We start from the raw sequence: 15,572 nt of genomic DNA, 5'->3' as shown, positions 1-15,572 counted from the left end.
AAACCAACAAAGATCAAAAGAGACAAAGAAGGCCATTACATAATGGTAAAGGGATGAATTCAACAAGAAGAGCTAACTATCCTAAATATATATGCACCCAATACAGGAGCACCCAGATTCATAAAGCAAGTCGTGAGTGACCTACAAAGAGACTTAGACTCCCACACGTTAATAATGGGAGACTTTAACACCCCACTGTCAACATTAGACAGATCAACGAGACAGAAAGTCAACAAGGATACCCAGGAATTGAACTCATCTCTGCACCAAGCAGACCTAATAGACATCTACAGAACTCTCCACACCAAATCAACAGAATATACATTTTTTTCAGCACCACACCAATTCCAAAATTGACTACACAGTTGGAAGTAAAGCTCTACTCAGCAAATGTAAAAGAACAGAAATTATAACAAACTATATCTCTGACCACAGTGCAATCAAACTAGAACTCAGGATTAAGAAACTCACTGAAAACCGCTCAACTACATGGAAACTGAACAACCTGCTCCTGAATGACTACTGGGTACGTAACGAAATGAAGGCAGAAATAAAGATGTTCTTTGAAACCAATGAGAACAAAGACACAGCATACCTGAATCTCTGGGACACATTCAAAGCAGTGTGTAGAGGGAAATTTACAGCACTAAATGCCCACAAGAGAAAGCAGGAAAGATCCAAAATTGACACTCTAACATCACAATTAAAAGAACTAGAAAAGCAAGAGCAAACACACTCAAAAACTAGCAGAAGGCAAGAAATAACTAAAATCAGAGCAGAACTGAAGGAAATAGAGACACAAAAAACCCTTCAAAAATTAATGAATCCAGGAACTGGTTTTTTGAAAGGATCAACAAAATTGATAGACCGCTAGCAAGACTAATAAAGAAAAAAAGAGAGAAGAATCAAATAGACGCAATAAAAAATGATAAAGGGGATATCACCAGCGATCCCACAGAAATATAAACTACCATCAGAGAATACTACAAACACCTCTATGCAAATAAACTAGAAAATCTAGAAGAAATGGATAAATTCCTCGACACATACACTCTCCCAAGACTAAACCAGGAAGAAGTTGAATCTCTGAATAGACCAATAACAGGAGCTGAAATTGTGGCAATAATCAATAGCTTACCAATGAAAAAGAGTCCAGGACCAGATGGATTCATAGCCGAATTCTACCAGAGGTACAAGGAGGAACTGGTACCATTCCTTCTGAAACTATTCCAATCAATAGAAAAAGAAAGAATCCTCCCTAACTCATTTTATGAGGCCAGCATCATCCTGATACCAAAGCCGGGCAGAGATACAACCAAAAAAGAGAATTTTAGACCAATATCCTTGATGAACATTGATGCAAAAATCCTCAATAAAATACTGGCAAACTGAATCCAGCAGCACATCAAAAAGCTTATCCACCATGATCAAGTGGGCTTCATCCCTGGGATGCAAGGCTGGTTCAATATACGCAAATCAGTAAATGTAATCCAGCATATAAACAGAACCAAAGACAAAAACCACATGATTATCTCAATAGATGCAGAAAAGGCCTTTGACAAAATTCAACAACCTTCATGCTAAAAACTCTCAATAAATTAGGTATTGATGGGACGTATCTCAAAATAATAAGAGCTATCTATGACAAACCCACAGCCAATATCATACTGAATGGGCAAAAACTGGAAGCATTCCCTTTGAAAACTGGCACAAGACAGGGATGCCCTGTCTCACCACTCCTATTCAACACAGTGTTGGAAGTTCTGGCCAGGGCAATTAGGCAGGAGAAGGAAATAAAGATTATTCAATTAGGAAAAGAGGAAGTCAAATTGTCCCTGTTTGCAGACGACATGATTGTATATCTAGAAAACCCCACTGTCTCAGCCCCAAATCTCCTTAAGCTGATAAGCAACTTCAGCAAAGTCTCAGGACACAAAATCAATGTACAAAAATCACAAGCATTCTTATACACCAATAACAAACAGAGAGCCAAATCATGAGTGAACTCCCATTCACAATTGCTTCAAAGAGAATAAAATACTTAGGAATCCAACTTACAAGGGATGTGAAGGACCTCTTCAAGGAGAACTACAAACCACTGCTCAATGAAATAAAAGAGGATACAAACAAATGGAAGAACACTCCATGCTCATGGGTAGGAAGAATCAATATAGTGAAAATGGCCATACTGCCCAAGGTAATTTATAGATTCAATGCCATCCCCATCAAGCTACCAATGACTTCCTTCACAGAATTGGAAAAAACTACTTTAAAGTTCATATGGAACCAAAAAAGAGCCCGCATCACCAAGTCAATCCTAAGCCAAAAGAACAAAGCTGGAGGCATCACGCTACCTGACTTCAAACTATACTACAAGGCTACAGTAACCAAAACAGCATGGTACTGGTACCAAAATAGAGATAGATATAGATCAATGGAACAGAACAGAGCCCTCAGAAATAATGCCGCATATCTACAACTATCTATCTGATCTTTGACAAACCTCAGAAAAACAAGCAATGGGGAAAGGATTCCCTATTTAATAAATGGTGCTGGGAAAACTGGCTAGCCATATGTAGAAAGCTGAAACTGGATCCCTTCCTTACACCTTATACAAAAATCAATTCAAGATGGATTAAAGACTTAAATGTTAGACCTAAAACCATAAAAACCCTAGAAGAAAACCTAGGCATTACCATTCAGGACATAGGCATGGGCAAGGACTTCATGTCTAAAACACCAAAAGCAATGGCTACAAAAGCCAAAATTGACAAATGGGATCTAATTAAACTAAAGAGCTTCTGCACAGCAAAAGAAACTACCATCAGAGTGAACAGGCAACCTACAAAATGGGAGAAAATTTTCGCAAGCTACTCATCTGACAAAGGGCTAATATCCAGAATCTACAATGAACTCCAACAAATTTACAAGAAAAAAACAAACAACCCCATCAAAAAGTGGGCGAAGGACATGAACAGACACTTCTCAAAAGAAGACATTTATGCAGCCAAAAAACACATGAAAAAATGCTCACCATCACTGGCCATCAGAGAAATGCAAATCAAAACCACAATGAGATATCATCTCACCCCAGTTAGAATGGCAATCATTAAAAAGTCAGGAAACAACAGGTGCTGCAGAGGATGTGGAGAAATAGGAACACTTTTACACTGTTGGGGGGACTGTAAACTAGTTCAACCATTGTGGAAGTCAGTGTGGCGATTCCTCAGGGATCTAGAACTAGAAATACCATTTGACCCAGCCATCCCATTACTGGGTATATACCCAAAGGACTATAAATCATGCTGCTATAAAGACACATGCACACGTATGTTTATTGCAGCACTATTCACAATAGGAAAGACTTGGAACCAACCCAAATGTCCAACAATGATAGACTGGATTAAGAAAATGTGGCACATATACACCATGGAATACTATGTAGCCATAAAAAAGGATGAGTTCATGTCCTTTGTAGGGACATGGATGAAATTGGAAATCATCATTCTCAGTAAACTATCGCAAGAACAAAAACCAAACACCGCATATTCTCACTCATAGGTGGGAATTGAACAATGAGAACACATGGACACAGGAAGGGGAACATCACACTCTGGGGACTGTTGTGGGGTGGGGGGAGCGGGGAAGGATAGCATTGGGAGATATACCCAATGCTAGATGACGAGTTAGTGGGTGCCGCGCACCAGCATGTCACATGTATACATATGTAACTAACCTGCACATTGTGCACATGTATCCTAAAACTTAAAGTATAAAAAAAAAAAGTAACATCATTTTCTCAAATTAAATATTTAAAAAGAAAAAAGATAAAATGAAACCACAACACTGAAGGAAAAAGGTCTGTTCCTGGTTTCTTGTCAGTAGACATTTTTTTCTCCCATAAATTCCCATCACCTCTAAAGCTGGGCTACACAGCACTGAGCACTTACTATTGACAATAGCTGTGGGCAAAATAGAAGCCATGGCAGCTTGCTGAGGAAGCAGCTGAATTGAGTCCAGCAGGCGTGCAGGGTACATCCCTTCTGTGAGAGTCATCTGACTGGCAGCTTGTAGCCTTGAGTCAAAATCCACCACAAAGGCAATTAGCTCTTCACCCTCAGAGATGGCCTTCGTAGTTGTACACCAAAGCTGACCCCCTATTAAGAAGAAAAAAGAAAAAGATAAAATTGACATAGGATGCTTGAGTCTGTTGTAAACTAGATTGATGTCCATAGCACCTTCTCATGTTTTTCACACTGGTTTCTACTGGAGTGGAGTGTTTGATCAAGGCAACAGCTGTGTTCCTCTTGCTTCCTGTGTGGAAAATTGTACTCCTTGCATTAAATGAACGATTTAGTGACCAGAAGTAGGAGGAGACTAAGAATCAAGTACAGTATAAACATAATTTGTAGAGATTTTTGTCAATTGTTTGCTTTCTGGGGCTTGCCTGAATCAGTAACCTTACCAGTAGATTGAGACAGTACCTAAAAACCAGCATAGTAGAGACCCAACTGCTGAAATTTATTTCATATGAGCATTTGGAGTTATTCTTTCTATATTTTATGAAAGTAAAAAGTTATTTATCTCTCTCCTTCTTTTCCCCCCATGAAATACTTCCATCCTATCAATACCAATGCCCAAACTACAGAACAAGTAAACAAAAACTCCTAAAATCTAGAAAATTAAAATGAAATTCAGGTAGTTGTACTCTGCTATGTCTGCTACCATTTTCTGGCTGAATAATCTTTACTTATATAATATTCCGTATAATGTAGCTTCTTCATCTCCATTTACCCTGATTGAACTTCCTGAAATGAAGATATGCCAAAAATCCTTTTCAAAAAGGCTCATTTAAATAAAGATTTGTTTAGATGAAAAGAAATGTCTCTTCAAACACTGAGATATACTCTGGCACTGCATGTCAACGATCACATGTTGTGCATTAAAAAGAAAAATTAACTATGCAAGTACATCTAATGTATTGGAATGTGATAGCGAATGCTCGTTTATTTAACATGTTTAGACAGGCAAAGCACTTATATTTTGTTATCTACACTCTCAGGCCTAGATATGTATCCTATACAGTTATGCCTGAAATAATGCAGCATACTTGATATGTTATAAAGCTCTTTTTTTTTTCATTGTGTATAGATTGGAAGGCTGTGTATTGCACTCATTAAGCAGCCAAAACTTGTACCCACTTTGATAAGTCATATTGCTCTGTTTATCTTTCAACATAACTGTCTTTTCAACTGCACTTCATTTTTTCCACCCTTAGAGCTCATGGTTTTTAAACAACTTGTGGTAAAAATCTGGTGGAAAAGATAACAACAGTATATGATATGGCAGAGTTGCACAGAAGAATCAGAACATTGTTTTAGAGAAACGTTGGGCAATTAATTAAGCCAGCTGATTAAGTTTTAAAGGTAAGGAAACAAAACACCATCTGTGAGAGTATATGATTGTTAAAAAATAAAGTTAAGACTACAGACCCCAAATTTGTGTGAAAGTTTCAAAGTAACAAACAAATACACTAAAATGCTAGAAAAGTAAAACAACTACTTTTCACGAATGTATCTGAAAGCATACAAGTTTACCACAGTTGAATAAAACAGATTCATTTTGCTTTGATTTACTTCTTTTCAAATAATAGAAGCTAAACCATATCATGTCGAAATCAGAGGAGCGATGAAAGTGTGAGTGGTGGTATTTCTGCTGTTCTCCCCCCTGAAGGCTTCTGCGATTAGCTTCTATGCCTTCCTTCCCTTATGGGCATTCAGATCCAAACTACTTGCAACTGTAGACAAGGTAATCATTTAATCATTTGCATCTTATCTTTCCACTGAAATACAGTTTATTGAGGCTGTGTAACGGAGAGCTAGGGGAGACACAACAAGAAACCACAATTCAGGTTTAGTTCATATGGTGTTTCAGAGTCACTAGACTTCAGTCATTAACTTTACATTATTGGTAAGTCCAGCTATGTGTACCTTTCACAAAAGCAAAGAAAGAGTTGGACTCAGGTGCCCAAGAGAAATTGAGGTTTTAGAGAAGATGCCCAGCCAAAAATAATCTTTATCACTGTGGTAAGCTATAAGATAGGACGACTCAAGAGTATTTATGCTCAAATTCTGAACCAAAAGATTTAGTAAATAAGTAAAATTAAATTCAAAAATACTAACTTCAAATAAAAGTGAACAAAAAATCATTTGTGTGCATCATTAAATGACTCAGCAGTTGTAATATATATTTGTTTTCAGATGTACCCAATAATGTTTCACATTTATTATCTTTATCACTTTATCTCATTTGATGGTTTAGTCAGAGCGTATCATTCTAAACGGCTAAATTGGACTGAAAATGTACTGTTGGACTTGAAAAGAAAGTCAGTTATCTTTGGATTTAATCTTTCAAATCATTCGTTAATTGGCTATTCATTGAAATCTCTGCTGCATGCTAGGCTGGGCGCTATGGCTTCACATGCAGCTCTACAATTAGAATACACACATATATGCAAATATATTACAATATCACATTAAGAGTGTCATTCCTTCATGCTAAAGAAAATGTAAGAGGACTGAGTAACTGACACTTCTTGGAGAAGTTAGACAAGCTATCCAAGGTGATGTTTTTATTAGTTCATGAAGAACAAATAGAGGTAAAACAGCAAAAACATGTGTAGGCAGGACCAGGCAGGTACATCATTATTGCCCTATAAATGAGGAGGTGTGAAAGTTAAGAATTATAGAAAAGTCACCCCAGTGAGTAGTTGGGACTACAGGCGTGAACATCACTCTTGGCTAATTTTTTTTTTTTTTTTTTTTTTTTTTTTTGAGACGGAGTCTCCCTCTGTCGCCCAGGCTGGAGTGCAGTGGCGCCATCTCCGCTCACTGCAAGCTCTGCCTCTGGGTTTCATGCCATTCTCCTGACTCAGCCTCCCGAGTAGCTGGGACTACAGGCACCTGCCACCACGCGCAGCTAATTTTTTGTATTTTTAGTAGAGATGGGGTTTCACCGTGTTAGCCAGGATGGTCTCAATCTCCTGACATCGTGATCCACCCGCCTCGGCCTCCCAAAGTGTTCGGATTGCAGGCGTGAGCCACCAAGCCCGGCCAATTTTTTAAAATATTTTTTGTAGAGATGGAGTCTCACTATGTTGCCCAGGCTGGTCTAGAACTCCCGGGCTCAAGCAATCCTCTTGCCTTGGCCTCCCAAAGTGCTGGGATTGCAGGCGTGAGCCATGGTGTCCAGCCAGGAGTTCTTTCTTTGGGCCTGATAAGCTAAGTGGTTTATGTAATTCATCTATTTTAATCCTGTCAATTACTCTGTGAGGTAGGTAATATTTCCCTAACTTTAGACTTGAGAAAACAGAAGCTTAGAGAGGATAACTAAGTTTCCCAAAGGAAACTTAGGGTCAGTGGCAGAACTGTGACTTACACTTTTGTCTGTCCAACTGCAAAGTCCAAACACAGGGTCAGTGGCAGAACTGTGACTTACACTTTTGTCTGTCCAACTGCAAAGTCCAAGTGTGCGTGTGCGTGTGTGTGTGTTGTGTGTCTGTTGTATGTGTGTATATGTGTATGCACAGAAATAATGAATTCTGTTTTGAAAATGTAAAGTTTGGGGTACCTGACAGACTTCTGGTGAATTTATCTAGGAGGAAGATGGAACTTGGAGAAGACATACAGGCTGAAGAAAAAAAAATATTTTGGAAGTGATCAGCACATTCTAATTGACCATGGATGCTCTCTGCATTCATGTGGTAACCCAGGGAGAGTATGGAGTGAAAAGAGGATCACCAAAGAAACTTGGGGTATCTCAACATTTAGGAAGTGTGCAGAGAAGATGAGATCATTAAAATGTACCAAGAGGTTATATTTAAATGTTAGAGGGAAATCAAAAGAATGGCACCACAAAAATCAAGGGTTGGACTTCTTTATAATTGTTTGGCTGAGTTTTTAGATGGTGAACTTAGAACGTACAACTTGAGGGAGTCATTTATAGGAAGTGATAACCCAAATATTGTAACGTAACTTCAATTACTGATGCTAATAAAATTTTCAGAGTGTGATCACTCTTGGCGGATGTTTGGGCAATGGAACCAGGCTGCCTGGGTGCAAGTCACTTATTATGTGACTTAGAACTTGTCACCTAAGCATTCTACCTATCAGTTTCCTCATTCCTGAAAATGCAGAAGATGATAGTGCTGAACTCATGATGTTATTATGAGGATTAAATGAGCTAATATATGTGAAAGCTTAAGAACAGCACCTGACATATAATCATATAATAAATAACATATAATAAATGTTTATATAATTGTTAGCCATTATCGTTTTGGTTTCATCCACTTGGGGCTGTTATTAGTCTCATTTCTCATTTCTTACTGCCCTGCTAAATCCAAGAGGAAAGAAATCTCACCAGAAAGAAAAGGCACACCTATGAATTCAATGAACAAATCTGTCTACACTTCACTGGAGGCAGATAACTCATTTTAGAAAAGAAGAATAAGGTTGCATTTGTTTATGGATCACCAACTATTGTGGACCAGTTAAAAACAGACATAGTTTCTAGCAATCTATGTGGATCTGAAGGGGCAGGAGAGCCAGTTTCCTATTTTAATGCTTCAGAGCTTAGATAAATATGGCCCGCTTTAATTTACAATTGAGTGGAGGGTAGTAGTATTTATGTAAATTAAGAAGCTATCCAAGCACATGAAAATGCTAAGTCATGTTGATATTTAGCTATGTTGGTATCTTGTACCCTTTGACCTTATGTTTAATAGAAACAAACCACAGGATATTACATTTGGCTTTAAAATGAGGGCATCATTATAAAAAAAAGTGTTGTTAAGGATGTAGAGAAACTGGAACCCTTGTGCACTGCTGGAGGGTATGTAAAATTGTACAAAATGATGAGTTATCCAAAAATTAAGACTAGAATTACCTATGATTTTAGCAATTCTACTTTTGGATATATATTCAAAAGAAAGGAAAGCAGAATCTCAAAGAGATATTTGAACAGCCAGGCTCATAGTGGCATGGTTCACAATAGCTAAAACATGGAAACAACCCATGGAAGTATCCATTGATAGAGGAATGGATAAGAAACATGTGATCTACACATACAACTGAATATTATTCCGCCTTGAAAAGAAACTCTGACATATGCTACAACATGGATGAAGCTTGAGGACATTGTACTGAGTGAAATGAGTGTCACAAAAAGACAAACAGTGTATGATTCCACTTACATGAAGTACTTAAGGTATCCCAAATCATACAGACAGAAAGTAGAATGGTGGTTGCCAGGGGCTGGGATACGGGGATGAGGATTTAGGTTTAGCATAAATAGAATTTCAGTTTGGCAAGATAAAGAGCTCTAGAGATGGATGGTGGTAATAGTTGCACAACAATGTGAATGCCACTGAACTATACACTTGAGAATGGTTAAGATACTACATCTTATGTGTATTTTATCAGAATTTTAAAAATTGAGAAAAAATGAGGTTACATTTTTTTTTTCACTACAAAACATCCTCTGTGAACCTAGAACATTGGCATGAAATTTTTAGCCATAACTAAGAATAAGAATATAACTTTTATAAAGTGGCTTCATATGAGATGATTTTAGGAAAACCAAAAAAAAAAAAAAAAAAAAAAAACCATAAAGAAACACAAGGGATAAGATCTTCCTTCTCGACTTTCCTAGCAAAGCTACTTAACAAACCCCATTTGAAATTCAAGTACCTAGTGAAATGAAGTTGCTGCTAAGAAGGAGTTCACTTTATTTGGCCATATTAAGTCTTTTCATTTGAATGAACTCGGGAGACCTGTGTAGATCTGAACATTTTTGAACAATTTAGTTCCTGGTTACTTGATTGATCTGAGTTTCTGCCTGTGTTTCCAGTGCCAGTGGAGTGTTCCTGTTGACTCTCTATAGAGGTGAAATTTAAGGAATCTAAACATGTTTTCTGTGGCTTTCATAAGAAGCAGTATGCTTAATATGCCCCAAATTTAAACGAAGTGCATTTTCAATACACTAATCCATATTAATGGTATATTAATATGAAAACAAATGGAATTCTGTAAAAGTATTGGGTGGACATATGGCAATGTAAATATATGCTCCATATGGTTGGGTTCTGCATCCTTGGATTCAATCAAACTCAGATATAAATATTACCCAAAATTACAATAATGAAGAATAATACAAGTAAAAAACCCATAAAGTTTTATATCAGGTACTTGAGCATCCTCAGATTTTGGTGTTTGAGGAAGATCTTGAAACCAATCCACAATGGATACTGAGGGACAACTATATGCTTCATTGATAAAACTGTTACTACTTTGTTTACACTGCCATTCAAGGGTAAATGTTCTTATTTTAAGGAATTACACACTAATAGTGAAGAACAGGTGGCACCTGAAATCACAGAAAATTTATTTGTCCTCAATGCAAAGATGAACTATGAAGAGCACTTTATTGGTGAGTAAGAAAGTTTAGTTTAGTTTAGTCCTGACTTCGTTATTACTGTGTGAGCTTGGAAAATCACATTACCCACATCACTTCAAATGACAGCCTTAGACTAAATATTTATCATCATCCAGTTGTGAGCATCTTTTTATGCTTCCATCATCATGTGCTAATAATAGTAATAATCACACATTTATTAAGTGGTTACCATGTGCTACACACCTGCACTGTGCTAAAAGCTTTGCATGAATTATCTTATTGATTTCCCCCAAGAAAGCAGTGAGGTGGCTTTTATTGATTCTCATTTTACTGTGGGATCATGATGCTGGAAGTGTAAGTTGTTCAAAGTCACACAGCTAGAGGGGAACTGGAGGAGGAGAAGGAAATATGGGAGATGGCATTTGAATAAGGCAGATTTTATGTGAAAAACTAGGTGTCCCAAGCCATGGCGCCATCTGGTGTTCACTCTGTAACACTCCTACTTTCATTACTAAGTTTGAATAATTGGCACAATTATCTCTCTGAAGGAAGAATACGGTGGTTCAATTTATGAAGCAGCATTAGGCAGGTTACATAGTTAGTTATTAGATAGAGTTTTTAAATGCATAGCTACAATATGGAGAATAAAATTTATGTGTGATGTGGAAGTGACTCCAAGTTATTTTATTATTTTATTTTAAGATAGGGTCTCACTCTGTCACCCAGGCTGGAGTGCAGTGGCAGTCACCGCTCAGCTCACTGCAACCTCTGTCTCCCAGCTCAGGAGATCCCCACTACAGCCTCCCGAGTAGCTGGAATTACAGGCATGTGCTACCACTCCCAGCTAACTTTTGTATTTTTAGTAGAGATGGGGTTTTGCCATGTTGCCCAGGCTGGTATCGAACTCCTGAGCTCAAGGGATCCTCCTGCTTCAGCCTCCCAAAGTGCTGGGATTACAGGTGTGAGCCACCATGCCTGGCTGACTCCAAGTTATCTCATAATGTGACTAACCTCATTAAAATAGCTAACACTTAGAAAGCACTTACTATGTGCCAGGCACTGTTCTAAGCACTTCACATACATTAAGCTCAATTATTAATATAAAATACAAATGCAGCACTTTCCCAATTCCTTAAATTGCAAGTTTAGCTGGACATTAAAAAGGGCATCAAGATTCGACCTAACCATCAAGCACTGACTGGCGATCTTGACTGCACAATACAGTTAGGAGGGGAACTTGGAACCCACACTGATTTTGGACCCTACCCAAGAGCCATCAAATCAGTCTCTGGGACTGAAGTTTGGGCTTCAGTATATTTTAGAAGCTCTCTGGAGGGCTTGGTTTGCTTCCTTAGTTAAGAATAACTGCCATAGGAGTAAACTATCTGCATTTTACATAGTGTAGAAAGAGTTAAGCTCTATGAACAAAAAAGTGTCTTGATGATCAAATGTTTCACAGGAGTGTTCAGACAATTCAGTAGAGAAGACGTCCATTTTGAAACTCAGAAAATGACACTTGAAAATAGCTTTTATTTATTTGAGACGGAGTTTTGCTCTTGTTGCCCAGGCTAGAGTGCAATGGCACGATCTCGGCTTACTGCAACCTCCACCTCCCAGGTTCAAGCGATTCTCCTGCCTCAGCCTCCCAAGTTGCTGGGATTACAGGCTGGGATCACACCTGGCTAATTTTTTGTATTCTTAGTAGGGACGGGGTTTCACCATGTTGGCCAGGCTGGTCTCAAACTCCTGACCTCGGGTGATCCACCCACCTCGGCCTCCCAAAGTGCTGGGATTACAGGCATGAGCCACCGCGCCCGGCGAAACTAGCTTTGAATGTTTCCTTTTCCTGCAGCGTTTGAAGAATATAGGAATGATGAGTGAAATGGTGAAGGAAGTGGATAAACAATGATGTAACGACTGAGCGTCATCTTGCAACTGAATAAGCCAGTGAGGAACTTGGTAAATTTGTTGATTATATTTAGTTTTACAATGTTTAATTCTTTATTATTTTGAAGTGATTTATTTTATTATTAGGAATGATCAATAGTAATGCATCTTCCAAAACTGTGGAAAGATCATATTGCGCAAACTAGAGCAAAAAATCACATTCCTCTTGCATGGGCATGAAATCTTTATCAAATGACATCAGGCACTGAAGCAGCTATCTGATACCTTCCTCGCTTCCACCAAATGGAAAGGTTATTTTAGGATTCTCTCTTTGTCTGTCTCTTATGCTGCAAACATAGTCACTCTCCTCAGTCTTCATACTCACAATACCACTCCCTTCACAAATAAAGGACAAATACTTATTCAAGGTTCTGTGAAAAGGAATAACTACTAAGACCTTGACATTCTTGAAAAAGCATATATTTGCTGTTCTAAGTAATGTTTATGATCAAGGTTCTTGTGCAACCAGATACGGTTTCTAACAGGAAGCTTATAAATTTTTCTTATAATTGCTGTCAAAACCGCAGTGACGTGTACTACAAGTTTTGATAATAAAGAATAAAGTCACAGTTCAAACTCGATTATATTTTGGAAATTCATGCGCCTGTTACTAGAAGCAGTGGCCTTAAATATCTTCCCATCCTGCCAAATTTTTCACTTGCACTTTTTATTATTTATGAAATCAGTCTCTGCACAATGTCATGCAGACCTCTGCTGATAAACTCTAATTAAGATTAAGACAAGCCTTTTGGAAAGGATCCCATCATTAGCAAACATGATAAACACAAAAATACTCCCTACTTGTCAACCAGGAGCAATTCAGTAACCTAACAGTATTATCTGTTGCTAGGTTACAGAGCTGACAAAGCTTCAATTATATTGTTCGACCATACCTATAGAGTTCTGTATAAGCAAAATGTATCCAGAATAAAAGCTTTTAACTTCATCCATGCTATCTGCAATTCATGGCTTCTTACAATGGTAAAAATCAGGTTAATAATTACATAGCACGCTGAAAAATATTTTCCATGTGTTATGTCTATACATGTTTCTTTCTAATTTATCTGTGTGATTGATAGACGCTTGCTTTCTAAAAATAAGGAAATGCAAGGAATGTGAAGCTGTAAACCTCTAGCACAGCTACGGGGGCTCATCAAGATATGGACCTAAGCTTAGCATAAAAATATATAGCAAATTGAACCAATTAAATCACATTTAGATTTTGTATTACTCTGCCTCAATATAAAGTAGGATAAGGAGCCTTAGGCAATAGATAGGAATATCAGTGTGAAACTTTAAGCTAAAAACAAACAAGCAAACAAACCGCATACATCCTCACTAACAATACAAAAGGAAATAGATGGTTTAAAATAACAAGTTATTCTAATGCCTTTTCTAAAGACATTTAAAAGTTAGTTAATGACTTTTACTGCATAGCATCGCCATTAAGTCTCATTTCTCTTTTTTTAGACTAGAAATTCTGGGGGAAGAAAATCAATAAAACATCTTCCAAAATTCAGATATTTAATAGGGAAAAAACAAAGAAAAAAGACGTATGCGTAAAAAAAAAAAAAAAAAGATGACAGTTTCTGTGAATCAGGCTCTCAAGATTATTTTACCATGGGTAATTTTTGTGGTTTTCATAAAAATTTGGAGAAAAAGTAATTATGCATAACGGAACCAGCATTTTTAAATAGCTCTTGCATAAAATATGCTATACCATATACTAAATTGCTACAGCATTTTGCTTCCTTAAGATGTAGACTGATATTTCTGCATTGATCTAAAAAGTCTATCTCCTCCACATACCATGGAAAAAGATGGTCAACTGATGACAAGCACTTAGTTAATGACGATTACACATTGGCCTGTGAAGTAAATCATGATCTCTTGTAGGCACATTCAAGTAAAATTAAAGCCATTCTCTGGGGGAATAGGCCATTTAGCAAACAAACACACACACGCACACACACACACACACACGCATGCACTCAGACACATGCAGACATACACAGAGTATCATGTTTCTGGAGGTGGAGAAAAGCGGAATACTTACTTGTTTGGTCATTAACTTCTTTCATTTTTACTAAATAAATAATTAGAAAAAATCTCACATGATACCTCCCTCTGAAATCTGTTTTTTTCATAACTGAGAAGTGATTGGTCAGAAAAATTCCTTAAAAGCTAAATAACTGTCCCATTTCAACATCGCATGTGGTAATGCCTAGATCTCAGGGTCTAGGCATGAACACAGGACATATATCTATACGTAACCACATTGCTTAATACAAATTTTATAATGAATTCAAATCCAATACTGTTGAAATTCTTGACAGTGGAGTAGTGGAAGGAATAGAACTTATAAATTATGGGTGCCCCTTCTTTGAAAACCGCTTTGGAGGTTTCTTTGTGCCTTGGCAAATACAGTAGGAATATGAGGTATTGTGTGGATCCTCCTGCACAGCACCTGATAAAAGAATAAAGAGCTGTGACATATTCTTAAAACAATAGAGGAATTAAAGGGAAACAATGGGCCAGCTGCTTCATTAATACAATCAAAAGGGAGCCCAGCACAGAGAAGTCCAGATAATTAAGCACTACTCTTTTAGCCTTCCTTTCTATAATAAAATTGCTTATAAATGTATTAACTACTTCATAGTTGTTAGATAGATCTATCCACTTGTTTATTTAGAGTTGATTAATGCCTTTTTTTCGTATGCAGCAACATGCCAACTCATAGTTTACAATAGTTTTTGAATAAAATAGAGTAAAATAATTGATAAAGATCTGCACAATACACAGCAATAAATCAAAGCATTTTGCAAAAGGTCTTTCCTGTTTTTAAATGATCTTTAACTTTTTTCATTTGTACTATATAGGCAATGCAGGGCATTTGGGGGCATTCAACTTTCCCATGCTGGCACTCCTGACAGCTTTTTATAGAACATCCTAGAACTTCTTGGGAGAAGGGAGAAAGTCAGACCTGACCAGCAACTCTGGAGTGTGCCTTTTGCATTTGGACCAAAGGAGAGGACAGATTTTTTTAAAAAATTATTCTTTGCCTTTTCCAATCAAGAGGAATGGACAAATGGTAGAAACTATTTGCCAAATACACTATTTATCCTTCATTAACTTGATTATAGAAAATGAAAACGCAAACTTTTTATGCT

At 37.3% G+C, this 15,572-nt stretch overlaps 1 protein-coding gene and 1 long non-coding RNA gene across 12 annotated transcripts in view; one reads left to right on the top strand and one right to left on the bottom strand.

Annotated features, from left to right (window-relative positions):
• ZFPM2-AS1 (ZFPM2 antisense RNA 1) overlaps positions 1–12,465 on the top strand; it is a 280,094-nt gene extending 267,629 nt beyond the window's left edge. The window contains exons 4-8 of one of the 2 annotated variants that reach the window (NR_125796.1): positions 5,279–5,426; positions 5,654–5,808; positions 7,658–7,813; positions 10,392–10,488; positions 12,308–12,465. This is a non-coding gene — a long non-coding RNA (ZFPM2 antisense RNA 1). The remainder of the gene's footprint in view (positions 1–5,278; positions 5,427–5,653; positions 5,809–7,657; positions 7,814–10,391; positions 10,489–12,307) is intronic. The other variant, NR_125797.1, reaches the window with a different exon arrangement.
• Positions 1–15,572, bottom strand: part of ZFPM2 (zinc finger protein, FOG family member 2) — a 486,102-nt gene that overhangs the window by 11,665 nt on the left and 458,865 nt on the right. For all 10 annotated transcript variants that reach the window (NM_012082.4, NM_001362836.2, XM_047421634.1 and 7 more), the window contains one exon: positions 3,951–4,157. In NM_012082.4, coding sequence (NP_036214.2) covers positions 3,951–4,157 — 207 coding nt within the window. The remainder of the gene's footprint in view (positions 1–3,950; positions 4,158–15,572) is intronic.

Source organism: Homo sapiens, chromosome 8 (assembly GCF_000001405.40).
Source record: "Homo sapiens chromosome 8, GRCh38.p14 Primary Assembly".
Lineage (NCBI taxonomy): Eukaryota > Metazoa > Chordata > Mammalia > Primates > Hominidae > Homo > Homo sapiens.
Note: the sequence above shows the minus strand (reverse complement) of the source record. Positions and strands in the feature narration are given on the sequence as shown.